This window comes from Homo sapiens, chromosome 16, assembly GCF_000001405.40.
Source record: "Homo sapiens chromosome 16, GRCh38.p14 Primary Assembly".
NCBI lineage: Eukaryota > Metazoa > Chordata > Mammalia > Primates > Hominidae > Homo > Homo sapiens.
Window position 1 is genome coordinate 79744139 of NC_000016.10, and position 27278 is coordinate 79771416.

The window sequence follows — 27278 nt, forward strand, 5'->3', positions numbered from 1 at the left end:
AAATGTCTACCAATCAATGAATGGGCAAACAAAATGTGGACTATCCATACAATGGAATATTATCCAGTCATAAAAAGGAATGAAGCACTGATGCATAGTACAACATGGATGAATCTTAAAAGCATTTTACTCAGTGAAAAAAGCCAAATGCACAAGGCCAAAAACTGTATAAATCTATTTATATTAAGTGTCTAGAATAGATGAATCCAGGAAGACATAAAATAGTATAGTAGTAGCCAGTGGATGATGGAGAAGAAGTAATTGCGAAGTAAGTAATTTCTTTTTAGGGGGATGGAAATGTCCTGAAATTAGTAGTGATGATTGTATAACATCAAAAATATACTAAAAACCACTTCATTGTACGCTTTAAACTGTCTGAAACGGTAAATTTTATATTATATGAAATTCATCACAATTTGTTAAATAATATCACAATTTATATAATACATAATAAAAAATTTATCACACTTTATAACATAAGTTGAAATAATAACTCATCTTCTGGCCAGGAGTGATGGCTCACGCTTGTAATCCCAGCACTTTGGGAGGCCGAGGAGGGCAGATCACCTGAGCTCAGGAGTTTGAGACCAGCCTGGCCAATGTGGTAAAACCCCATCTCTACTAAAAAAAAACAAAAGTTAGCCAGGTGTGGTGGCGGACACCTGTAATCCCATCTACTCAGGAGGCTGAGACAGGAGAATCACTTGACCCCAAGAGGTGGAGGTTGCAGTGAGCTGAGGTCGTGCCATTGCACGACCAGTCTGGGCAACAAGAGCAAAACTCCATCTCAACAAAACAAAACAAAACAAAACAAATAACTCATCTTCCCACATCATCTTCCCTGATGTGGGAAGATGAGTTATTGAGTCTTCCTTGAATTGGGAAGGAGACTTTCACAAGTTTTGGTTTCTCAATATATGACAAAGCATGAACCGTGGGGAGGGAAGGCAAATCGTGCCACCAGTGCGCTTGGCCTTGGCTGGCTCAGGCCACCCTTAGCACTCATCAGCTTGCTTTGGATGTTTGTATGTTATCCTCATGTCTTTCTTCTCACTAGACCATGAGTATCTCCATGCCAGGCACCATCTCCTATTTAGTTCAGTAAAGATTTATTAAGTACACACTTCATGGTTAGCATTGAATATATAAAAATAATTATAATGATATATAATAAAAACAATAATAATTAAAATGGTAGAAGCTAATACACACTGAGAACTGGTTTTATGCCAAAACTTTTTCTAAGAACTTTACATATATTGGTTCATTTTGCAATCATGTTGGTGATTGCAAAATGAATTAATACTGGTAATCAAAGCAACCTTCGGATATATAATAGGTATTATCAGTATTATTATTATTGTTTCCATTTTACAAATGAGGAAACTGAGAGGTCAAGATTCTTGCTTGAGGTCCCATAGCTAGAAAGTGCAGAGTGAGGATTTGAAGCCCTGCAGTCTGATTCTAGGTCCCGTGATCCTGCTCTTGAGGCACTTAGTAGAGATTCTGTTCTTCACCGAAGTCCCCTAGCACCCCGGCTCCTTAAATGGAGGCAGACAGCAAGCAAGTATGGGAATGCAGGAAACAAAACTTGGGCATCCTTCTACATTATCAATCTTCAAAGAAGATTGAGAAGTTAAGAGGGTAGAGGCTGGCTGCTTTATTAGTAAAAATATAAAACACCATCATTCTGTTAAATTGTTCATGAGATCGGAGATTATTATAATCTCTTACCACTAGACTGTAAGCTCCAGGAAGACAGGGACTCTTTTTCTTTAACTGTTTCAATTTTTTAAAATTGCTGTCTCTCCAAAACCCAGGACAGTATCAAGTCTCTATTAACATTTATTTACTATTTCTTGGGTAAATATATAAAGGACAACATGTACTGAATGCTTACTATACATCAGACCTTGATCTTAGCGGGGTTCAGGTATTTATTACCTTTTTTCTCACAACAACATTATACCATCTCTATAATTTAATAAAGAGGAAAAAACTGAGGCATAGAGAAATTAAATTTCATATCTATTCAACCTGAAATTGTTGGAGCCACAACCCAATCCCAGGCCATTTGGAAAAAAGCACCTCCACTGTTTTTTTTTTTTTTGAGACGGAGTCTCGCTGTGTCGCCCAGGCTGGAGTGCAGTGGCATGATCTTGGCTCACTGCAACCTCAGCCACCTGGATTCAAGTGATTCTCCTGCCTCAGCCTCCCAAGTAGTTGGGATTACAGGCATGTGCCACCATGCCTGGCTAATTTTCTGTTTTTAGTAGAGACAGGGTTTCTCCATGTTGGTCAGGCTGGTCTCAAACTCCCAACCTCCGGTGCCCCACCCGCCTCAGCCTACCAAAGTGCTTGGATTACAGGTGTGAGCCACCACGCCCAGCTGCACCTTCACTGTTAAACAATAACTTTATAGCCACATTATGAAGATGAATGCAAAACCTGCAAGATTTTGAAGTTGAAACTGGGACTGTCAGATTATGTGATGAAACTGCCAAAATTATGGCAGTTAGTGGTGATGTCCCCAGAGCCTCAGGGGTACATGTTCACCGTCTCCGCTTGCCTCAGAATTGGTGTAATGTTGTAAAGCTTCCAGCTAGGGGATACGGAGCGTTCAAAGCAGGGTTGTTGAATGTTTGCTCAACATCTCTACTCCTGTGTCTCTTCTTTGAGGTCTTTCTTAAGGGGTGAGCTTCAGCCTTGAGAAGTGAATGGTTTCCTAATTTGGTTTGTAGGCTCCAGAATGCACCAGGAGGAGCCAGTGAGGCCGTGATGGAAGGGTGGATGGTTGATTTTGGTGTTTTTATTACTGCCCACATTCCAGGGTGTAGGTTCTATTTCTGTTGTTCAATTATATTATATTATGTACTTAGGACACTGAAGGAATTAACCAGAAAGAAAAGAAGAGAAGAAGGAGAAGAAAGAAGAAGAAGAAGAAGGAGAAGGAGAAGGAGACGAGGGAAGAGGGAGAAGAGAGAGAAGAGGGAGGAAAAGAAGAAGAAGAAGAAGAAGAAGAAGAGGAAGAAGGGGAGGAAGGAGAAAGGAGGAAGGAGGAGGAGGAGAAGAAGAAGAGGAGGAGGAAGAAGAAAATGTGAGTGCATGAGAGTCTAACATCTTGGCGTCTCTGTAAAAATGGGTAATTTGGCACCGTCCACCTTGTTGTGTTGTGACTTCTTAGATAAATACTCCCATCTTGATATTTCATTGGTGTCAAAGAGTGCAGGCTGTGGAGTTACACTTCGAGGGTTCAAATCCCAGCTCTATTTAGAATTTGGACAACTTATTAGACTTCTGTGCTTAGTTTTCCCATATGCCAAATGGGGTACCCTTCATAACTATGAATCATTTATTGTACAAGCTCCCAGAATGGTGGGCAGGGCATGATAAAGTTGGTACGGACTCTATAAATAAGTGTCATTGATTATTTGTGGTAGTCAGAGGTATGGGAACTTGATGTAATTACAATATTCTCAGAGCATCTGAGAAAAACTGATAGTATTTACTCCTTGACTTGGGGATAGAGTTTTGTGTTTGCTTTTAAAGTGCTGTGGAGTAGACGTCACCCCTTTTGCCACGTTGTTCTGTATCCTTCCCCCTCTTCAGTGTCAGTTCATTTGCAACACCACTCTTGGCCAAGCCACGTATTTAGACTCATGGAAGGGGATACATGCGGGCCTATAAATGATAGGTAAACAGCCCAGCTACTGAGTTTAGCTCCCTCCTGAGTCACGCCCTGCCCCACCCTGGCTCCCTGAGTGACCTCATACCTCTTCCTAATATCAGTCCATTTCCCCATCACCCTGGCCAGAGCACTTTTTCTGAGCTCACCTTGTCTGTGACAAAGCTAGGTGATTTTCCATGGGTCACCAGCAACTTCTGGTCTCGGGTGTGCAAGTTCCATATTGCCTGGGGTTGCTGCTATCTGTCACTCTATCTCTGTATTTCTTGACTGGAAGACAACACTCCAAACAGCACCCCAAACCAGCCCTTCTCAGGAAGTTTTGCTTCCTGCCTCAACTCACCAAAACTTCCCTTATAACTTATTATTACTCTTTTGTTTCTAAGTCTTACATTCTTCCCAAACATAGGACTTTACACTCTCGTGGGACTGTCTTTCCTATCTGAAGCAAACATCCCCAACCCAATTTGTATATAACATGTGATGATTATAGCATCTAAAGTGCGTCAGAGCTGACTATGGGGCAGGCACTCTTATTCACAAGAGTGCTTGCAATTGTCAGAAAAACTATAACACCGAGACACTACTACCTCCATTTTATATATAAGAACACTGAAGTCAGGGAAGGAAGCAACATGCTATAGATACAGGGCCGGAAAGAGGTACAGTAATAAAAGCTGCGGGTGTTTGACTCAGGAGCCAATACTCTTTTCTCTATCCCAATATTTCCTTTATGGACACTGAGACCATCATTAACCATCTTCCCCATATGACCATTTAAGAATGACTTAATGGGTATGGGGTTCCTTTTGGGGGTGATGAAAACATAATGCAGTTAAATAGTGATGATGGTTACATGATTCTATGAATACAGTAAAATGCACTGAATTGTGCACTTTAAGTGTACATTTTATGGTATGTGAGTTATATCTCAATAATAATAAAAGTAACCCATTCATACCCCTATACTCTAATGACTCAGCCCAGTTAGAGAGCAAATGTGAATAATTTATCACCTCTGATGGCTTTCCGTCACACTTAGAAAAAGTCCAAATGACTTTCAGACATTTAGCAGACTCTGAGGGTGCCCGACCCTTGTCATCCAGCACTTACCCTTCCTGATCACACCTGCCCAGCAGCATCCCACTGCAAACACCTGCAACTCCTCACCTGGGGATTGTGCCTTCTTCAGAAGAGCCAGGAAGTACAAATAAATTTAATCTTAGGCTCCTTAGGGAGCCTAAGATGGGTGGAGGAGTAAGAAGCCCACTTCTCTCCGGAGGAAGCAGTGTGCAACGTGCTGTGTACAGCCCCATAGGATTGAGCCCCATATGGTAGCCAGGTCAATAACACACCCTTAATTGGAATCTTTCCCCTCCCTCTCTCACTTCCCACTCACCTTATTGTGCCCTCCCAAATAGCTGTTTGTACTCAAACCTTCATCTTGTGGTTTTCTTATGGCGAGCCCCAACCTAAGACAAGGCTTTTTTTTTTTTTTTTTTTTTTTTGACATTGCTGCCACCTATCTCTTTGACTTCATCTACACTTTGCTTCCTACCTGACTAGGTTACACCCATACTGAACTTTTTTCCCTTCTCAACACACCAAGTTCATTCCTCCCTTAGGTCCTTTGCATTTGCACTTGGTCCTTTTTGCCCATACTACCGTACCTTGGTGGCCTCTTCTTGTTTTGTGGCCACAGCTCAAATGTCACCCTCTAAAAGAAATCTTTCTTGAACTCCGCCTAAATAATCTCAGTGCACCATCCCATACCCAACCAGACCCCATTTTGTTACTCCAGTGCATCTCCACATACCAGTACGTGCTGGAAGTTTTTGGTTTGCTCATCTAGCTATACAGGCTCCACCTTTCCCCATCCTCTTCTGTGCCAAGGGAGGCTGATCCTTATGGACTGCAGTAGTGGGTTCCCTGAATCTCAGGCTTCCAGTTGGATTTAGCTGGGGGAGGGCAGTCAGGCAATAGGAGTATGAATCAGAATAATGATGTCCCCAGTCCCCTTCCTCCTGGGCTGCCATGGATTAAGGACGCGCTGCTTCTGAAGTTTGGGTTTGAATCGGGTGGTCCTTTCCTTCAAGCCTGGTTCTGCTAACAGCTCCCTGCAATTGCTAGCTCTGGGGTACTGCACCATCCTTCCTTTGTCCACTGTGGACCTACTCATACCTTTATGAATAGTCCTGTATGAAATTCTCCTTAATGATTCCATTTGTGTCATGGGTTTAGTAGCGTGTGTGTGTGTGTGAGAGAGACAGAGACAGAGACCTAGCTGTTAAAACTCACAATTAAATTGTTTTATTATTTTCAGCATTTACATTTCTGTTGTCTAACACCTTCTACAAGAATATAAACCCCACAAAGGGAGAAACCTGGTCTTCCTTGTTCACAGCATGACTGTATTCTCAGTAGCTGAAACCATGCTAGGCATAAATTAGTCACTTAATAATTTTTTTAAATGTATACTGTATTTATCTGGAAATTTTTAGCAAAGAAAAGCTGACATGTTGCTAATGGATCAGGTTACCTACATTTCTTGGGGTGGCCCTCTTTTTCTAGTCCCGTTGCAGCTTCCAGGCAACTAGGTTTTCTGAGTTCATGCTTTTTTTTTTTCTTTCAATCCCTTTGGCCCTGGATGCTGCGACATCGGGTTGCAAATGAGTTTTTCTCTGGCATGGATTCAGCTGTAAACTGCTTCTGTTACAGGTTAATAAAACCTAGGAAATTACCTCCGAACAGCCAGAAATACATTGTGGAAAAATGAGGAGGCAGTTGAGAAATAAGGATTTGAGTTTTCAACATTTATGTTGGCTTTCACTCCTAATAAATATTTAAGTTAAATTGAATTTTACTTAACTTGATGACTATTTAACTTTAATAGTCATTGTTTATAACAGTATTTTCAGCAAATGTTTAGTGAAGACTCTTTGGCTCTTAACCAAAATGCATTATCAGAAAACACCTTTCTCTTTCTACTATAAATTTATAACTGGAAGTTTAGTCATGTAATTGTTGTATGAAGCCAATTTCAGTTGTTTTTCTTTGTAGAAAAACAGATGGAAAAGAACTCCTTTGCATTTGGAATTTACGTGGTATGATTTACTTCATAGGATAAGTTGGAAATCACAGTAGGCAAAATGGTGCCCTTTTTCCAAGATTTCCATGCCCTAATCTTCAGAACCTGTGACTATGTTACTTTCCTTGGCAAAGAATTAAGATGGCAGATGAAATTAAGGTTGTTCATCTACTCAATTTAAAATAGGAAGATTATCCTGGATTATTCAGGCAGGTCCAATCTAACGACAAAGGTTTTTAAAAATGGAGGAGAGGGCAGAAGATGATCACAGAGAGATGTGATGTGAAAAAGACTCAACTCACCATTGCTGGTTTGAAGATGGAGGAAGGGGCCATGAGCCCAGGAATCCAGGTAGACTCCAGAAGCTGAAAAAGGCAAGAAATGGGTTCTCCTGAGAGGCTTCAAAGGAATGTAGTCCTGCTGACACTTTGATTTTAGTGAGACCCATGTTAAAATTCTGACCTTCAGAACTCTAAGATGATAAATCTGTTGTTTGAAGACACCAAGTTTTTGGTAATTCGCTACATCAGCCATAAAAAAACTCCTGCAGGAAGTTAACTGCATTCTCCCCCTAGAGGGGTAGCCATAGTATCTCTCTTCCATACTAGATATCTTTATTTTTGCATGAAATTTCAATCCAGCAAACATGAGCACAGAGTCACTTGGGTACACTTTTAAGTTTCCATTAAGTCATTTATTTTACAAGTATATAGTACATTCCAAGTATTCCCATCAAAATGGGAGGTGCCCATAAATCAAAGTAGATTTAATCTTTCAATTCCCAGCTCTTTTGCAAGAAGCAAAGAAGAGAAAAAAATGCAAGCACCTAACATTGTGTTGAATATGGAAAGAATATAGAAGTGCAGCTCTTCACTTTTTCCACCCAGCAGAGGTGGTGAACTGCAGTACCAGGGTTAATACCCATGAATAAGATTAGACCTGAATTGTGAGGGAAATAGTAGATGCCTAGAACAGTATGTTATTTTGAAATTACATTTTCCTACTTCTTGCTTTCCTGCTTCCATGGTGTGAAGGGAGCTTGTGCTTCTTGACGTGTTCCAGCTAGCTGAGACGCTCCGAGTGCGCCAAATGACTCAGTCTCTGGACTACTACCAATGTTTTTTAGGATTGAATCCTGCTCTTATTTTCTAAGGAACAATGTTTAACTGGTCTCTGTGGCATGGTGTCAACTGACATCACCCTTTAATTGCAGATATGTCACATTAGACTATCCCCAGTATTGAGGGAAAGATCTCAAGTCAAGTTAAACATTATGATGGAGGCTGTGGGTGCATTTTTTCACACTCCTGGTCAAGGGGAGGGCCCATGTCATGAGGATAGGTATATTTTGAGCCCTCTCAATATGACCCCAAAAATGCTAATGCAAGTCCAGTTTATCAAACAGCTATATAGCAAGCCAGTATGAAAATCCCTCTGGAGGGTACATCATTTTGCATTCATCTATTTTAAGTAACTCTTGTGAATCAGATAGTGCTCAAAACATATCAAGCTCAGTTCACACCAAAAAGTGGTTTTTTGAAATTTCTCTTTGTGATTATGAATGTATGTGCAATGAATTATGAGACTCAAAATAAGTATTCCCATATGATTGCTTAGGGATTTTGAAATTTAATATCTACATGAAAGATGATGAAGTCATCTGCCCAGTGGCCTCTGAGTGAGCAAGGTCCTGTGAAAAAGATCCTGCTCAAACTTGTTTTTAGTACCAGGAGACTAGAAGTGAATACAGGGAGAGCTGACCTTTGTACGGGTCCTTTATAGAACTGTTGTTCATCCAGATCTGATCTCGCACAAAGTCACTGGTTGGCCCCAGATAAGACATTCAACCTCTCTTTTGCATGAAGAACAACACCTGACTTTATTATCTTAAAATAACGAGAGTTGGTGATCTCTCACACTTGTGAGAACTGAGAGAGGGGATCTGCTTAAGGACCCCCAGGGAGGTCTTAGGAGGCTCTCCACTTCCTGGAGAATGAAGGTAACAAACCTGTAGGAGCCTTGAAGGAGGTGTGGAGACAAAAACACATCAACAGAAGACTTATCACAATGCTATTGGGAGTCTTTGGATTTTCCTTAAAAGAGAATTTAGTTCTCTGGCTGAGGGGTACAGATCTTCCCCCTTTATGGGCAGATATATAGAAGAATGTAGCACAGAAGCCAGCTCTAAGTAGAAAGCAAAGACGGGAAAACCAAGAAAGCAGAGTTTATGAGCTAGACATGGCATTGGGGGTATGGTGAGAATCAGATAGCAAGATGGCAGACCAGGAAGTGTCCATTTCAAGAAGGTTTTCCAAGGCATTCACAATGCGCACTGGACTAATTTCATACAGACTCTTTACTGTGGGGTTTCTTTTCTCAGTTGTATTCTGATGCCCATGTGTTAGGTCTTTGAGTTTTATGGGTATGGTCTTCTGTTCCTCGTATTTGACTGGTGAGCTCTGATCACCTGTGTTGTCTGCCCCATTGCAGCTCTGCAATGAAGGAGGGAGGGAGCCAGGGATAGCATGGGTATGAAGGAGCAGGGGACAATTGCTTGGATGACAACTGCAGAAGGAATGCAAGTAGAGCAAGGGTCACATAAAGCCTTTGTGATGGCCCCTTCAAAACCAGCTAATGTCAACTTTGTCAGTGCCACCCACTTAGACTAGGGACACTCCTCATAATCAGGATATCATTTAAATACATTGGACATCATGTGCTGAGAAGCTTGTCATTCGCTGTCTCCATCAGAAAAATCATTGTCCTTTCCAACATAATAATACTTGATTTCAGGCAAAATACTAGGTACTTTCCATGTACTATTTAATATTTCCCTGACATGCTCTTTCAAAGAAGCTCAGTAAACAACCCAGTAATTTGGCCAATGCTCTCCTGGATGATCTGGCTTTGTGTCTGTTTACAAAGATACTGGATAAGGCTAATATGTACATTGTTTAAACTAAGGTCAGATTTGCAAAGGACCTTGATATTCTAATGCTTGTGTTCTATATTTTTGTCACTCAAGATGACTTCATATTCTAAGGCTAAAAGGAGGTATCAAGCCTGACAGGATGATCTCTGTAGAGTTCAAATAAATTGGTGAAAGAAAAAATAATTGTGATCCTCTCTGATTTAGCTGTGTTTAGTTTCATATAACCTTGCTATCTCCCTTAAGCTTAGGCATGTTCCAGAACAGTTTTCAAAGCATGGTTTTTGTCAGCCTTACCAGGTCGAGGTCTTTGAGTGTGAGACTCTGTAAATCTAAACTTTTAACAAACACTCCCAGGAACACCTACTCACAGAAAAGTTTTAAAATCACTGTTCAGGAGGATAACATCTTAAACTGCAGAACAAAGGGTCTCTTCCTCCTGCTTTCCCTCCTTCCCTCCTTCTCTCCCTCCCTCCTTCTCTCCCTCCCTCCCTCCTTTTCTCCTTCCTTTCCTCCCTCTTTCTCTTTCCCTCTCCTCTCCTTTTTCCTGTACCATGCCTTTTTTTTCTTTTAAGTTTTAATCACTTCTTCTTTTCTCCCATATTTTCTGCCAAAGTTTACTCTTGTCCACATGCCAGTGACAACCAAGATAAGTACAATGAAATCAAATGTATTTAGGTAGTTAGATTTAATTACATGATGAAAAATGAATTCACCAGGCTTTCTTTCAGGAAGAACAAGTTATTTAGAAAACTTTCTTGGCAAGTACTTAGGATATGAGCTGAGGCCTCTAGGGGCTTGATATGAACAGCAAGGCTCTGTAGGGGGCAGACAGGAATGTGTTTATTGCTCCTGAGCTGAGGAGGAGAGATAGGGAGGTTGAGGCCCAGGAAGTGGGAGAGGACCAGAAACATCAACTGGGAGGGGCTTATAAACCACAATGTGGCTATTCCCAGCACTCTCTCAAAATTTAAATAAAGTATATCAAAAGGCTTATAAGATCTACATTAGTGGAGATTTTGAGTCATGCAATGAAAGCTGAATTTTGTATCCAGGTTGGTAGGAGAGAAAAAGAAAATTCAGGGAGGCACAAAGAAGCAAGCGGGAGTGAACCTCAGGAACCCAGGGATTTCTGGGAAATCCCGGGGAGGGCTTCAGCTTGCTTGCCCCAAGCCATGAAATTGGGGTCTAAGCCAAGTTGAAAGATCTCTTAGGAATTGAGTGGCTGCATAATTTGTCAGAAAATCAGGACACTTTTGAGAGTTAAAGGGCACGTTTGAAATAATCATTTAAGGACAATAGGCATACACAGGGGAAAATGGCCATTCTCTCTAGAAAGGCCTTTGATATTTTGGGTTCATAGGAAAAAGGAGAGAAAAGGTTTGTGGAGGTGATTTTGAAGGTTTCTCCTAGACTGGGCTCAGGCTGGTAGGGACAGAGGTGAAGTGAAAGCAATTCGACAGGAGCTGGAGAAGCTCAGGAAATGAATCACAGATGTCTCCACTTCTGTGAGAAGATTAATTTTCATGTGCTTAGGTAAAAGATGACAGCAAATTAAGTTTTGATAGGAGTTGAAAGATACCCAGGTAAAGAATCTACAATGAACTCAAACAAATTTACAAGAAAAAAACAAACAACCCCATCAAAAAGTGGGCGAAGGATATGGACAGACACTTCTCAAAAGAAGACATTTATGCAGCCAAAAGACACATGAAAAAATGCTCATCATCACTGGCCATCAGAGAAAAGCAAATCAAAACCACAGTGAGATACCATCTCACACCAGTTAGAATGGCGATCATTAAAAAGTCAGGAAACAACAGGTGCTGGAGAGGATGTGGAGAAATAGGAACACTTTTACACTGTTGGTGGGACTGTAAACTAGTTCAACCATTGTGGAAGTCAGTGTGGCGATTCCTCAGGGATCTAGAACTAGAAATACCATTTGACCCAGCCATCCCATTACTGGGTATATACCCAAAGGACTATAAATCATGCTGCTATAAAGACACATGCACACGTATGTTTATTGCGGCACTAATCACAATAGCAAAGACTTGGAACCAACCCAAATGTCCAATAATGATAGACTGGATTAAGAAAATGTGGCACATATACACCATGAAATACTATGCAGCCATAAAAAATGATGAGTTTATGTCCTTTGTAGGGACATGGATGAAATTAGAAATCATCATTCTCAGTAAACTATCGCAGGGACAAAAAACCAAACACCGCATGTTCTCACTCATAGATGGGAAATGAACAATGAGAACACACGGACACAGGAAGGGGAACATCATACTCTGGGGACTGTTGTGCGGTGGGGTGCGGGGGGAGGGATAGCATTAGGAGATATACCTAATGCTAAATGACGAGTTAATGGGTGCAGCACACCAGCATGGCACATGTATACATATGTAACTAACCTGCACATTGTGCACATGTACCCTAAAACTTAAAGTATAATAATAATAAAAAATAAAAATTAAAAAAAAAGATACCCAGGTAAATTACCAAAAGTGACAAAATAAAGAAAAAAAAGGACAAAAGAAAGAAGGAAGAAGGGAGTAAGACAATAAGGACAAAAGAAAGAAGGAAGAAGGGAGTAAGAAAAGAAGGACAAAAGAAATGAAGGGAGGAAGGCAGGAAGAGAAGGAGGGAGGGAGAGAGGGAGGAAGGAAGGAAGGAGGGAAGGAAGGAGGGAGGGAGGGAAGGAAGGAAGGAAGGAAGGAAGGAAGGGTAGTTTGAGGCTGTTTGTTCCTGGCTGTTTTTCTGGGTAAACTGACCACAGAATTCAAAACTTTGATTTGAGTGATGCATCACAGAACTAAGACATGGCTGTCAAACAACTGCTCAACTAAATGGTACGCAGTGTGGTAACGTGAAAAGAGATGAGGCTTTGAAATCAGCGAAACCTACCCTGCAATCCCAGGGAAACAAGACGGTAGCAAAACAGAGTTGACTGTGTGGAAGAACAGTTTCTCAAGGCGAGTCACAGTTTCTAAAAACACCCTCTCCTTTTGCTTTCTACCACAAATCCATTTTTTAAAAACCCTGTCTATTGTTGCATCATGTAAAGACAGTCAAACAATATCACAAAATTTTCAGGATTTCTTTGTAATGGGTTTCCTTCCACTGTAAGCTTTATGGCACATAAAGATTTCAGTGTAGGGGTTACAGAGGTTTCTAAGAAATAGACAGTTATTCTCCAAGTAGCTGAAGCTGAAGTTCAAGGGAAGATCCTGTGATCTCTTGGTAGGAGAGATGGCACAGATACGGAAGATGCTATATACAGAAAATCATCACCAACAACATCAAAAAACCCAAAGCATTCAAGCAGGAAAGACATATCAAATGTCACAGGAGAGAATGTTCCAGGCTTGAGAGGTTGATTTGCAGTTGCACTTCTCACACGGGCAAGTTGATGGAGCACTTTCCTGGGGTATGTTTATCTGGACTAACACAGGGAAGGCAGCTGGTCTAAATTAGATCACATGTGCAGAGGCCTTGCAATGGCGTGTACATATGAGGGGGAGGTGGGGAAGCATGCGATGGGTAAATCAAGTGAAGACAGGGCCAACGGCCACAGTGGGTCACTACCGAGCAGGGTAACCACTTGTTGAAGCCACCAGACTTGAGCAACAGTGATGTATAAGTGTCAGGACTAAAACTGCCCTTCAAGTCCTTGCCTAGGTCTTGTCAAAGCTGGAAGCTCTATCATTTCAGATCTGCAAGCAGTTTTCTGCTGAAAACATGACTACCCCTTTAGGGACATAGTACCCTATTTTCTCGTCTGAGAAAAATTACCTGGATAGGCCCTTTGGTGGTGCACATAGGAAAAACCAGCATTGTCCAGGGTCCTTGGGGAAAACCTGTAAGGAGTCATGAAATTGAATACACATTTTTAGAAGTTTGGTAACTTAAAATGGACTGTTTGGCTGAGCCATAGCTCTGTTTTCATTATCAATATTTTGTGGTGGAACAGAAGTGGAATTTTTTTTTTCCATTGAGATTCCATTTGCACTGTGCCTGTGAACCAGGGCTTGTCCTTGGTGGTATTAGTGTGTTTCTGTTATAATGTATAAGGCAGAAGATGGCTGGTGAATGCTCCTGTCATCTTGAAAAGGCATGGTGAAAAACAGAAAGTCGACCATCCTGGTCAAAGACCACCCTAAACCATTGTGTTGATAATCTATGGGCAGAGTTCTTGAACATTTAACGGCTCAGGCTTGGAGAACTGCCTGGATGTCAGACAAGTGCATTCTGACCACCTATTTAGCGTTATGTGTGTATGTGTGGGTGGCAGGTGAGGACGATGGGGGAGGAGACGTGTTTTCTTGAAGACAATGGAAATCCCCATTGTCTATCATCCAGGATTGACGTCAATACTAGGAGAGATAGAAAGCTGGCCTTAAACATGATGCAGGAAGCACAGTTCCCTGCCTCTGCATCCCATGGTGAGTAGGCATGGACTCTGGGACTAAGACATGCTTGAGATTATTTCCTAGAGAGAGAAGCTGCTCTCCCTGCATGGAGAAGTTTAGAATGCACATAGCGAGGCAGCTCTGTGAAGACCTCATGAGGAAGGGTCTAGGCCTAGGGTGGGGGTGTTCTAAACAGGCTCACCGTGAGTTGCAAAAATGGATAGGTTCTTGTTTCCTTTCATTTACAGCCCCAGATACAGTCAAATATTCCTAAAAACAAAACGCAACTCAACCAAGCAACATCAACAGCAAAGTTCTAACTTTATGCGGAGGAGGCTTTGAAGGGAAGGGAGGGCAGCTCCCCAAAACCTAACCCCAGAGTTCATCCTCGTGGGATGAGCACCCACCTGAGAAGGGTGAGCAGAGGTCTCAGCAGAGTGTGAGAGAAAGGAGGACGGGGCAGGAGCCACACAGATGCCAGAGAAGGTTTAGGGCACCGCCACTTTCGACATACTAAGGAAGAGAGAGAACCTAGCAAGCGTGGGGAGCTACAGCAGCCCGGCAGGCGAGGTGTTGTCACTCACGTCCAGTTTCTAGCTCGGTGACCTCCTTTGGACTTCTAAGTTGGTGCAGTTAATGCAACATACAAATTACAGCAACAACCATCGTGATGATGTAAAATAATGATATGATAACAGTAATACCATGATTGCCGTCTTTAAAACAAAAAACAAAAGACGTGCTGCTCATAAAATCTTGAACAATTGTAAAATGCTTTTCTCACTCTTCCCCTCCTATCCTTCTGAGCTGACTGTTCCCTGTAAATGAGTCATTTCAATAGGAATGTTAATGTATTTGACATGTGTCAACATCACCCTGAAAAAAAGAAGATGTTGGATTGTTTTACTGGCACACACAGAGCAAAGAGAACTGACAATGTGTGTATTTGTCTGGGCCTTACACTTATGAGGCATATATAAATCTAACATCTCACGGAATCTTTCCGTCAGCCCAGGAGTCCACTCACCACCTACGTTCCTGCTGTCTCTCCTTAGAGTTAAAAATGTGCTCTTCATAGACTTGGTGTTCCTTCTTAAATCAGAAACATTGATGGAGGCTTTACTGTATGCACTAGGTATTGACAATATGAGAATAAAGTATCTACCGCAACATGTGAAGATAGTAATATAGAGACAACACATACTAATGCACTTGAAAATGTACTTTGCTTGGCTGGGCGCAGTGGCTCACGTCTGTAATCCCAGCACTTTGGGAGGCTAAGGCGGGTGGATCACGAGGTCAGGAGTTCAAGACCAGCCTGGCCAAGATAGCGAAACCACGTCTCTACTAAAAATACAAAAATTAGTCAGGCGTGGTAGCGGGCACCTATAATTCCAGCTACTCAGAGGGCTGAGGCAGGAGAATTGCTTGAACCTGGGAGGCGGACATTGCAGTGAGCTGAGATCGTGCCACTGCACTCCACCCTGGGCGACAGAGTGAGACTCCATCTCAAAAAAAAAAAAAAAAAGGAAAAAAAAGAAAAAAATGTACTTTGCTCTTCGGTAACTTTGATTTTAGGTAACAAGTATAAAAATTACATACAATGGCACTGGTCGTACCTGTGTGCTGGCTGTATACTGACTATTTTTAGACCTATTCCTTGGGAAAACTGAATCCTGAAAACTATATTTCCCCCATTCCTTTAGGAACTGGCTCCTGATTGGCTTTAGCCAATGGGAACCACTGGTTGCAGTGGGAATGTGAGAGAAAGAGAGTAGTCAGGATATTTTTCCTTTTCTTGTTATGCTCTGATCAGCATCTCCAGCAAATGCTTGTCTCTCCTCCAGAATTCCAGCTCCACCCAGAAAGCCTCTATCATCCAAGCTGCTGCCACACAGCTCTGGCTTTTGAGTTTTGAGGAAGACACATCCTTTTGTCTCTCCAGCCCTAGGAGAATCTAGCTGCTGCAAATCTGTGGGTTGCTTCCTCATACCCTTTAATGTCTTTGTACCTTATGATATGGTTTCCCATATTGAATGTTTGCCATTGAGCTCCTAGGCTTTGATTCTTCTTCTGGCTGGAACATAACTAATCTAGAATATCTAGAACATTCCAAACAGCAATACACATGTAGGAGTGAAATGTCAGTGTGCTGTTATCTAACTGGCTGGTGCCTTTTCAGTTTGTTTCCTGCTGGCCTGAAAAACATTCTGAAAATTGCATGGACCCATACGTATTGTTCCACTCAAGCTTTCTGGGTGTAAGTTTTCTGATAATATTGTCGGCATATGTATGAGTGATCCTTGATATAAACAAAAAATAAATCAACTGAGGGATATACAGTCTGAAGGTTGGAGGTAGCTGAGAAAAAGCTTTCCAGATGACTCTGAACTTAGGTGGGGAGAAGCTTGTTGAAACCAAAAAGAGATGGCAAATCTCAGTAGAGTAATTGGCTTCTCTCTCAGATCACCCCCACGGGCTTTATCTAGCTGGGGTATTTTTTTCTTCCTGTATAAAACAGGCTGTTTTGCTCCCAAGTCACATGGAAGCTTGGTAAGATGCTTGGATTTCACGTTCCCTTGTTCACCAGACTTGTTATATTTGAGAGAGAATTTGGTCTTGTCCTTGAGGACCTTGCTATAGAAGACATGAGGCCTGGCTTTTCTGGAACTTCCAGACAAGTTGCACAAAGGCAGTAATGACTCCCAGGTTGAAAGGATAGGAGGCTGCAGGTCTCAGTGCTGGGTGCCCAGGACACACACAGACACACAGTCTACTGTGCTCAAAGAAACAGTAAGGTGAAATCAATCAAGGCTTCATGGTGAAGACTTGAGTTTGTCAGATGCTAGCAGGAGTGAGACAGACTCAAACTTGGCCAAGAAAATTAGCAATGGGCGTACCTCATAAAACATTTAAGTTCAGGCTCATCTCAATTAAGCCTCCCAGAGCCTCAGGTGTTTGTCCAAAGCTTACCTGGGCCTGAACTCCTGGAACCAAGTAAGTTTGCTGGGGCCGGCAAGAACATGCTTCCCCATGAGAAACTTGGCAATAAGAACCCCCTCTCCTCATTCTCATACCCAGTCTAAAAAGAACCATGTGAAAACTATGAAAAGCAGGTTTCAAACATTTCTAAGCTATGAAAAATTTGGATTTAATTTTAACCAGCTATATCCAAGTCTGATGTAAAAACTCAAAAGTTATCTCTCTGTCCCAGGTGAAGCTGTTACTTCTACAATATGGAATCATAATCTCTCCTTTAGACAAACAATCAGTGATGGGCATTGCCTAAAATGTTGTCCTCTCTTTCCTGAACTCTGGGCTGAAAACTGGATTGGTGTAAGCTAGATTTGGGGGTCACATCCGGTCAAATGAAGTTAGTTTCCTCTTACTTCCTATAGTCATTAAAAGTCTTTATCTAATATTTTAATAACAATGATAATGACAATAATTATTGACATTAATGGAACCCTTACTCTATGCTGGGCATCACGCTAAGCATTTTACAAGTGATTATCTCGTTTCATCCTACACTTTGGGTGGGTACTGTGATTATCTACCTACATGGTAGAGACAAGAGAAACAGGTTCTGGGAAGCTACATTACTTGTCTGAATTCTCTCAGTTATTAAATGGCAGGAATTAAACTTGGGTCTGTGGTTCCAGAGCTCATGCTTCTAAGCACTTCGCTGGGTGAATCTCTGTTGAGATACTTTTCATGAGAAGGAACAAAGCTATCTAAATAAATTATTCTGTTAATAAGATAATGGGCATGAAAATGCTGCGAGAACTGCAAAGTCTCATAAAGGTTAAGAATTAATTATTACAAGGAAATTCTATAGCGTGGGAGGAACACCAGAAAAGGGAAAGCAGAAAGAATATTGATCATGAAATTAAAAGACCCGTATCTCAGAAGCATATCAGTGTAATGATTATGAATTTATAAAACTTAAGTATTCAAGGCCTGCAAGGAAGAAATATGGTGAAACAGAGAAAAACATTAATTTGTGGGGAGCTATGAAAATGAAGATAAATCTTTTCTTTCTTTGATTCTGATTTCAGTGAGATCATTTGTACAAATCTTGAAACCAAAGCACAGCCTGTATGAACCCATGTTGAACCCTGGACTTTCAGGACTACTGTATGGCTAACCACAGCCCTGCAAGGCCAGGCTCAGCATGTCACAGTTTTGCCACTGAACAAGAATCTTTCGAAGGATCGCAAATACTACATGGAAAATGACTGTATTCTTTCTGCAAGGCCACTCTCTTAGACATCACCCTAACAAAAACAATTACGGGTTGGAAGAGGAGAAAGGATGCAAAGTTTGTGCCTTGACCTAAAAAAGGTCATGAGCACCTCTACCGGTTCTTGGAAACATTAGTTGCAGTGGATCTCAAATTCTATTGCGCAAAAGAACGACCTGGTGACCCTCTAAAAGTGTAGATTCTCTGGTTTCACCCCTAGACCTTGTGACTCACATGTCCAGTGAGGCCAGGAACTCCTCACTGTTAACCTGTGCCCTATTTTAACAAGCCCTGCTGGGAGTCGGGATGTTGGGGGTCCCCACACCACACTGAAATAGAGGAATTCCCTGCTCAAAGATCCCGTTATGTCCTGATTACAATCTGCAATGAGATTATGAAATCATTAAATCATGATTAAGCCAATGTGGAGATTGATATGTGTTGTATGAAGCTATTACTGATTGGGTTTGTTCTTAGAAAACTAGACTTTCAGAACAGTGGCCAGGGTGAATTTGGGGCAGGACCCTATACCCAGCCCTGTGCGAGAACTTTTATCTATAGTCTCATTTCATACTTAAAATAACTTAGGGAGATTAGTGTTACTTTGCAGGTGAGGGAACTAAGGATTAGGACAGCAGTTAAAATACCTTCAGTGAGGTCACATGGCTAAGAAGTACTGAAATCAGGATTCTAAATCAACATATATATTTGACCCTTTTCAGTATACCATGCAACATCTAAACTCCTGCCTTCAAGCAAAACGTGTCACGGGTCGATTGTGATTGGAGCAACAGTCATTCAGGGGAGAACTTGGACATTGTGGATGAATTGACTAAATTCTCATTGCCTCAGTCAGCCCTTGGTACCTACTGGTCTTACGTTGGGAATTTATATCCTAAGGACTTAGTCTTTTTCCTAGTGGAATCGCAGGGTTCAGAGCTTCTACTCTGGGGTCATCGATCCTATCTTTCTACTGCTGGGGTAGCCTCTTACTCTACTTCCCCATTTGGGACTGAAACTAATGGCTGTCATTAAGCAGCCCCCATGACAAAGGATAAGCTTAATATATCCTGTATCCTGGTCTCGATTTGTCATAGTTATAAAAATGGGGAAAGCTTAGCCTTCCTGCAATTACAATTATTCTTCTAAAATATTTTAAGAATATTTAATTTTTATGATGACAAAAAGAGCAAAGAGTGAAATATAGCAAATAAACCACTAAGTACATAGTATGTCAAGTGGTGAACATTGGTGTGGAGAGGAATAAGCAGGGCAAGAAAGATAAGGAGCGGAGAAAAACTAATGTGTATTTAATATATATATTAGTTATGCACACATACTTATCAATCTATATTAATATGTAGATACTTTAGAAAACATTGAACACCGTTTAAAAATATTACCCCTAGTTCTGCTACATACAGATAAACACTGTTAACAGTTTGGCCTATTTCCTTTTGGGTTTTTTTTTCCCTATATTAAATTGGGATTATATCCAATTCGCTTTCATAAGGTAAGCTGCATTTTTTACTTAGCATGTCATAATCATTATTCCATGTCATTAACATTGCTTTGAAAACATAATTTTATATTTAAAGGTTTGCTAAGTACCATTGTAGGAAGGCACTGAAATTGATTAAGTAATTTCCTCTGTTGTGGGACATTTAGATTATTTGTCATTTTTTCACCCACATAAATATCCCACGGATGTACTTTCTTACGTATAAATCTTTATGTGTATATCTAAACATTTTCTTGGAATAAATCTGTGTTTTTGAGTCTGTTCCCCCAGGCTCTTGATGTATGTTGCCAAATTACCCCCCAGAAACAGGGTGAAAACTCCACAATTCAGTGATCTTGCCACTCCAGGGCTAGTAGATGCTTTTACAAGCTCTCTAAAGAGTTCTGTTCTGTGCTTTCATTGAACTGATCCAATCTGGTCTAGTTCTCCCAGGTCCACGAATACTTACGTGCCACTTTCCAGTGTGATGCTCTGAAATGACCCTTCCCATCCACACCCTGGAGTGGAATATCTCTTCCCACAGGGGTGCCTTTCTCAGATTCTGGAGGGGCAACCTTAGTCCCTTCCCCTACGTTTTGCTTGAGTGAGTCATAATCTATTCCTGGCCTCTCAGGCCCCCGCTCCAGGATGCTGTAATCACAGCACTAACCTGTGTTCACATTTCCCATTATTGAGCAGAAATCCCCCTGTGCCTCCACACAGCCTGGCTGCTTCCTAATGGCCCCAGCTCCCAACTTCTAATAGCCCCATCCTCATTTCTCCCAAGAGCCAGCTCTTTTTGCTAGTGTTTTAAGAATCCTGATCCAGACGAAAATCCTCCCATGATGTCCATCTGGTCAAATTGAAGGTGATGTAAGCAATGAGACAGAGAGACGGGTGTGTCTGCATCGATAGGACAGAGGAACCTCCCAGGACCATCCATCTTCTGTCTCCTCCAGTGACATCTAACTGCCCCCCTCCTAGTCTGGGATTTGGGGATGACAGACAACTTCCCTAATTGCCAGTGCCACACTATAGAGATGGGGTGGATGTTGGGCTCTGAGCATAGCCCCCGCTTCCAGCCCTGACAACAACTTCCTGGAGATGCTGCTTCTTTCTTCATGTGCAAATCCTACTCAGAAAGTGGATGTTCCCCTTTGCACTTGATCATGTGGGAGATTTAACCCTTGGAGGAAATGGTAGCAGGGACAGCAGAGACTTTTGTGGATGTGGATCTGTTCCAGGTTTAGAGCTGTTTGTCCTATCTCAAGGAGAAGGCCCTCATCCACTCCTGACCTCAACTGCAGCTTCCTCAAAATGGATAAAATGCTGTGCTGATGTAAAGAATGGTGATCAGAAGTGATTACAAAGCATGCTGCAAGCACAAACATAATGATTGTTTTAAAAAAGGAAAATGTTATCAGCACTGGACAATGCCAGCATCTCCTCTATTTTTTTTTTTTTTGGTTCCTATGAAGCCACCTGGGGATCAAGTTTTCCATTTCTCCCTTCCTTGATTAGCATGGGATAAGGTTCACATGCTTCCATGACCAGCTGCCAAGTACATGGGTTTTATGTTAGGCACCTATTTCTGGGAAGAGATGGGTGGATGGTCAGGGAGAGAAAGTAGAAAAAAAGGTTTTCAGTTGCAGACTCAAGAAGTTATCTCTGAACTTCGATGTAATAATTAACCAGTAATTAAATTATTAAAACAAAAATAGCCTTCTCTCCAAATCCCCAAGGAATTGCTAAAGAGTAAACTAGAGCTCTTGGAATGACAATAACACAAAATGGCAGCAGGAAGCTCCAGATAGGTAAGGGCTGCGAAAGCTGCCTGCTGAAACTCCTGCTCACCTGGATGTTGAGCTGCTTCTAGCGCTCCTGCCTCAGTCAGGTTTAAGGAGAAAGTCATGTGTTAGCTCAAAAAATCTGATGATGTTTTTACTTGGTTCCAGAAATTCTGATAGGGGCTGGAGGTTCAGAGGTGAGTAAGCTAGAAAAGTTCCTCGTTTCATGGAACTTTCATTCTAATGCAGTAAAGGAAGATCATCAAGTGGTAAACAAGCCAACATACACAATAACCTCACAGCCTGATAGGTACTTGAAAAAAATTAGTAAAGGTCATAAAATGTCAATGTTGTTAGCAACGGACTGAGATTAAAGTCTGCTTCTCTGTCTTCCATTCTATTCTCAGGAACCAAAGATAAACTTTTGAAGGGAAAATCTGATTATGCATAATCATTGGACTTTGGCATTTCACTACTTGCCCTTTAAATATTATCTTTTTTCCTCCACAAAACTGCACATGTCATGAAAGTGGAGACAGGGCTGCTTTTTCACTTCACCCCCTCACTGTTGCACATAGTGGGAGCTCAGTAAATATTTGCTGGATGGATGGATGAATTAAGAGAGGTTCTATTTGGTAGTGGTGGAGGGGACTGCTGTGATTGATACTTAAGACAGGTGCAATCCAATTGGTATCTATCAAGGGAGCACCCAACTGGAGAAGCAACATGAAGCAGAACATAGGTTGCCGGTGGAGTTAGGAAACTGACTCTAGGTTTGGCTCATCATTGGCTCCGAATATGTCAACTTCATGGCCCTTTCTGCTCCAACCCCAGCATAGAAGTGTGGAAAGGTAAACCTCAGAGCAGCAATTTGGTGGTATTAGGTATAGAAGGATTTCCATTGTTAGGCCATGGAGAAGAATGGTCAATTCAATGACTTAATATTGCAATTTAGAATCCCAAGAACGCAGGAGAGGTTGTAGGGTCAAGAGGAGATGAGCCTAGCCCTCAGGGATTCTTAAACACTTAGATTATGGTGTTTATGAAGTTACTCTGAGTTCTTCCTTTATTTGCAAAATTGGCATAATCACCAAGTAATGAGCTTTGCTGTTAGTACCCTGATTCTGTTTAGGCCCATTACCTTTGCTTAAACATTATATCCACAACATTCCTAAAATGGTTATGTTTCCTGTTTGAGCCAATTGGAAGTCTGAAGGCTAAAAGCTTTTTTGAACAATCAAAGATCTGAAAGTCAAACTGGCTTCATCAAAAGGGCAGTGAATTTCCTAAGAGAAGAGAGATTCAACTTGAGGCTGGACATGTCAAGGATGTTAAAGATCAAACAGTGGCAAATAATTGAAAAAAAAATGTTTGTATGAAATGCTGTCTGAACCTGACATTTTGTGAGCCTGTGACATAAAACATTCATTTGGTGAGCTGTCAAAGAAGACTTTATCCTCTTATGTATCCATGACAAATACTTGGGATGAGGATCCAGGGGTTTTTCTAGTCCTTGGTTTTCTCATCTGTGAAAAGGGGTTGAAAAATTCTACCTCCTAGAATTCTTGTAAGGCTTCCAAGGGGTAATACTTAGGAAATACCAGGTTCCTAGTCAGCACTTAATAAATCTCAGTTAAATTTGAATCTGAACTCTTTCAATACAGGAGCACTGAAAGTTTAGCCTTTCTCAATAATATAAGCTACCCTGAGCCAAGGCAAAAATCAGTAGGACTCCAACGTTCCCACTCCCTGATTATGGAAGCAGTGAAAAATGTGTTGATTTTATTCTTTTGGTGAGCTGTACACCCACCTAGCAAGACCAGGCCTAAACATATGGTCCCAATTTCTTGTCTCAAGGGAAAGACCAGTGTTCTTAGAGAAGCTAATTTTTACCAGTCTCCATAAAAAGTAATTTCCCATCCATGGAAAGTGGATTGGCCTGAACAGGCTCTGTTAACTGTTCTCAGGGCAGATGCGAAGCCCAGCAGAGGGCACTTGCCTGTGCTAGCTCTACTTCTATCTACTCTCATCTCCAACTTCTACCCTCTGTCTATCTATGAGACCTCACAGGTCTGTTCCTCTATGAAGCCTGTCTTGATTGCTCTAATTGGGTTTAAGTCCCTTTAGCGTATGTTGTCACTGTGTCATGAACATACATCTTTGTAGTAGTGTTAAGCTGGGGTTTGTGAAAGTTTGGGTATTATTTCTCCCACTTGACTGTAAGCCCTGTCTGTGTTGGCTCCCTATATCCCAGCGTCTAGCAGAGAGGCAGAACACACTCCACAGGAATACTTGCAGAAGGGAGAAAGAATGCTTGTGAGGCTGTTGGCTGAAAAGAAAACTGAAAGCAGGAGAGACAAACCATTGTGTGGATAGGCGTCTCACTGCACCGGGCAAAGCCGGGCAAACAGAGGGAGTGGAGGGTTACAACAGGAGGGATTTAGGACAGTGTTCAGGAAGAAAGCTGCTTTGCAAACATCCTTTAAAATTCAGGGCTGCCTAAAGAGTTACAGTGCGATCCCAGGGAAAACAGCCAGCAATTATATCAGCCTCTGCAAACAGAATAATCTGCTTTGCTCCAATCCCGATTTTTATTTTCCATAGGTTTTAAAGAAAAGTTAGAAGATAAACTTTACGGCGAAAGATTATAGGCAGGGTTCTGGCTAGGCTTTTTAAGCTAGGGGGATTTAAGGAAAGGAGACAGTACTCTCTCTCTGAGACCAAGTGAGTCTCTGGGGATGGGTGGAGTCGAAAACCTCTCCCTTGCTGGGCGATACTGTCTTGTGTTGACGTTCAAAAATATCTCCTTTAAGTTATCAAAAGAACCATCTCTTAGGTGCTGTCTGTTAGGGTAGGAGGTGGGCATGCCTAGGTCTTCTCCTGCTGCGAAGGGAAGAAGGAAGCTAGCTGGGGCCTTTCTGCTGAGCCTTTTAGACAATAGCACAGTGAGTACAGACACGTTTCCCTTGACTGCCAGGCTCAGAGCAAGGGCGAGGGTGGCACACAGGCATCTGCTAAGCAGAAAAATGTCATGCCAGGGGCTTCTTCACCAGCCAACCCTGTTCCTAGCTGGCAGGCCACTTCCCAGGCAGTTTCCAAACAACAAAACAGAAGGGATTTCATTTCTCACTTCATTTTTTTTTTTTTGGCTTCTGTATTCCCAGTCCCTACATTCTGAATAAACAACCTTTTGTTGTAAATGGATAACTTGTAAGCCATAGGCACTCAGGGAGAGCAAAGAAGCTAGCTAAGGTGTGGGGAGGGGGAGGAAGAATCTGTGCTCCAAGACTGGGCCTGCCTACTGTGTTGTTATGTGTCTGGGCTACATGTGTCTCCATGTCTCCGCGTCCTCACCTGGAAAGAGGGATAATTCTGCATGCCATATTGACAACCACAATGGTGAAGATGAATTAGAAGGAGGCACCTTGAAAAAAAGAAAAAAGGAAACTGTATAAGAAAAAAAGCCCCACACAGTTTTAAATATGCTCAACTTGATAATTCTTCATAAAATTAGAATCACAGTGACTTCCAGTATGCAGCTGAGTTCACGTGAAGTCTGCAGTCACTTGTTAGAGAAATGCTTTTACGGAATTGCTTCACCAAGCAGAGAACTGGCTCTGCTGTCTCACAGATGTGGGAAGTGACCAGCTTTGATCAGAGTAGCCTTGATCCAGTCACTTTCCTCTCTGAGTTGTGGTTCCCACATTAGTTGAGGGGAAGCTGCCGAGGTGGATGTGTGTTGCAGGATGAAGATAAGATGTTCCCCAAACACACAGAACATGGGTCTTTTCTACTCATTCCAGGATTATTGAGGAAGATCCACCTAAGATGCAAGTGTTAAATACAGTGATGGGGCAGGATGGGCCAAGGGTGATAAACATGCTCATTCTGAGAATTGGTAGTTATGCATAGGACTGCATAAGGCTGGCATAGCCCTGGCGATGTAGGTTCTACTGAGACCTATCCCCAGATGGGGGCCATAACCACATGGGCAGTTGTACAGCCATGCAACCACACCAGTAAGTGGATAGAACCAAGAGCTCCAAAGTTACACAGACAGTTTCCAGTCCTGCTTCTGCCTCCCCTGCTCAGTGCCTCTGTTTACCCATGGGCACACCAAGCTCTAAATAGGATTAAGCATGGCAACTACTCAACACAGTATCTGGTAGAAACCCCTCAGAAACGATAGTATTATTAACAATATTATTACTAACCCTAAGTACCTGGGGCTGCATATATCTCAGCTCTCTTTTCCTCCTGGGCAATTTCCATTTTCTAAACCGAGGTCCTGCTTTTTCAGCAAGGAAACTGTGCTAAATGCTCCCGCATCAGCGTGTGTGTGTGTGTCTCTCTCTAGGGGCTGGGGGCTCAAGTGTTGAAGTTGGTTCAGCGTGTGTGTGTGTTTGTGCACGTGTATGGGTGTGTGTAAGGGCTGGGGGCTCAAGCATTGGCGGTAGCTCAGCGTGTGTGCGTGTGTGCGTGTGTTCAAGGGCTGGGGGCTCAATTGTGAGAGGTGGCCCAGGGGCCGGTTAGAGACTGGGAAGGACGACAGAGGCAAGACACGCAGCGAGTGCTCTCGCGAGAGTTCACCGAGTTGATAAAATTATTAAAACACAAAATACACATTTGCGTGAGGGGGAAAAAATACCCGCTTGTCCGTCCTGTCCCTTCAGGCTGCGCAACGCTGGAGGGCGATGGGAGCTCCACACAGGTGGGACGAGCCTAGCAGGTAAACCTTCCACCGGCCCGAGCTCCGCGACGCCGCGCCCCCAGCCCCGCCCCGCCTTAAAAAAAAAAAAAAAAAAGAAGAAGAGAAAGAGCCGCCGGGAGAAGCGCGGACGCCGCCGCTTCCCGGGCTCCAGCCGCGGCCCAGAAGAGGAGGAGCCCAGACGCCCTTCGCGCGCCATTGGTCCATCCGCCTAGCAACAGCCGCGGCCGGACCAATGGGAGCCGCGAAGCGGCCGGCCCCGCTCCAGAAACTTGGCTGCGGAGAAGTTCGCTGTCCCAGCCAGGAAAACAAACCAAGAGACCCTTCACACCCCAGCCCTAAGTTTTCTTTCTTACCCTGCCTACCCTCCCCCTTTCCCTTTGCAACTTGTCACCATTCCCAGCTCATGCATGCTTTAGTCGCCAAATTCTGACGCGGACGGAGGGCCTTTTCAGAAGGTCATCTCTTCCCACCCAAAGGAGAAGTCTCATTAGAGGCAAAAGAACGGACAGGTTGAAAACGATTTGTCAGGTTTCCGAATCTCTCTTGGTCTTCAATTACAATAGCCTCACTTTTAATATATAGTGTGTTTTTGTTTGAACTGATCTGCAAGATCTGTGCCCAAAATGAAGGGCAATTTGGAACATTTATTATGTACCGGGCTTTGACCTCGAATTTTGTTTGCTTTCTATGCCTTATTGCATTTAATCCTCTAATTAATTGTAATTCGGAGAGTGGGTTGCCCTGTCTCCATTTAATAGATGGGAAATTGAAGTTCAAAATGGTGAGTGGAAGTGTCAGAGAAATTCTGTTAGTACATGGTTACACAGGATTCAAACCCAAGCCAGTCTGATTCCCAAGACACTCTGGTTTCATGATGCCAGGAACCTCTGCAAGCACTTTTCAGAAA

The 27278-nt window shown here is 42.3% G+C and overlaps 2 long non-coding RNA genes across 2 annotated transcripts in view, besides 3 other annotated features; one reads left to right on the forward strand and one right to left on the reverse strand.

The window, feature by feature from the left end:
• The window catches only part of MAFTRR (MAF transcriptional regulator RNA), a 49221-nt gene extending 22827 nt beyond the window's left edge, over positions 1–26394 (reverse strand). Inside the window, exons 1-4 of the long non-coding RNA NR_104663.1 lie at positions 26309–26394; positions 25015–25084; positions 13513–13577; positions 7076–7138 (exon numbers count right to left, since the gene is read on the reverse strand). This is a non-coding gene — a long non-coding RNA (MAF transcriptional regulator RNA). The remainder of the gene's footprint in view (positions 1–7075; positions 7139–13512; positions 13578–25014; positions 25085–26308) is intronic.
• Positions 26333–27278, forward strand: part of LINC01229 (long intergenic non-protein coding RNA 1229) — a 30873-nt gene continuing 29927 nt past the window's right edge. The window contains exon 1 of the long non-coding RNA NR_104660.1: positions 26333–26389. This is a non-coding gene — a long non-coding RNA (long intergenic non-protein coding RNA 1229). The remainder of the gene's footprint in view (positions 26390–27278) is intronic.
• Positions 26434–26483: an enhancer, noted in NCBI's record as "active region_11161". NCBI's record gives its function as "activates an Ori minimal core promoter by ATAC-STARR-seq in GM12878 lymphoblastoid cells {active_cell/tissue: GM12878}" and the evidence as "EXISTENCE:reporter gene assay evidence [ECO:0000049][PMID:35858748]".
• Positions 26481–26679: a silencer, noted in NCBI's record as "fragment chr16:79804516-79804714 (GRCh37/hg19 assembly coordinates)". NCBI's record gives its function as "represses an EF-1alpha promoter that drives an FKBP-Casp9 reporter gene in an ReSE screen in K562 erythroleukemia cells {active_cell/tissue: K562}" and the evidence as "EXISTENCE:reporter gene assay evidence [ECO:0000049][PMID:32094911]".
• Positions 26604–26653: a silencer, noted in NCBI's record as "silent region_7738". NCBI's record gives its function as "represses an Ori minimal core promoter by ATAC-STARR-seq in GM12878 lymphoblastoid cells {active_cell/tissue: GM12878}" and the evidence as "EXISTENCE:reporter gene assay evidence [ECO:0000049][PMID:35858748]".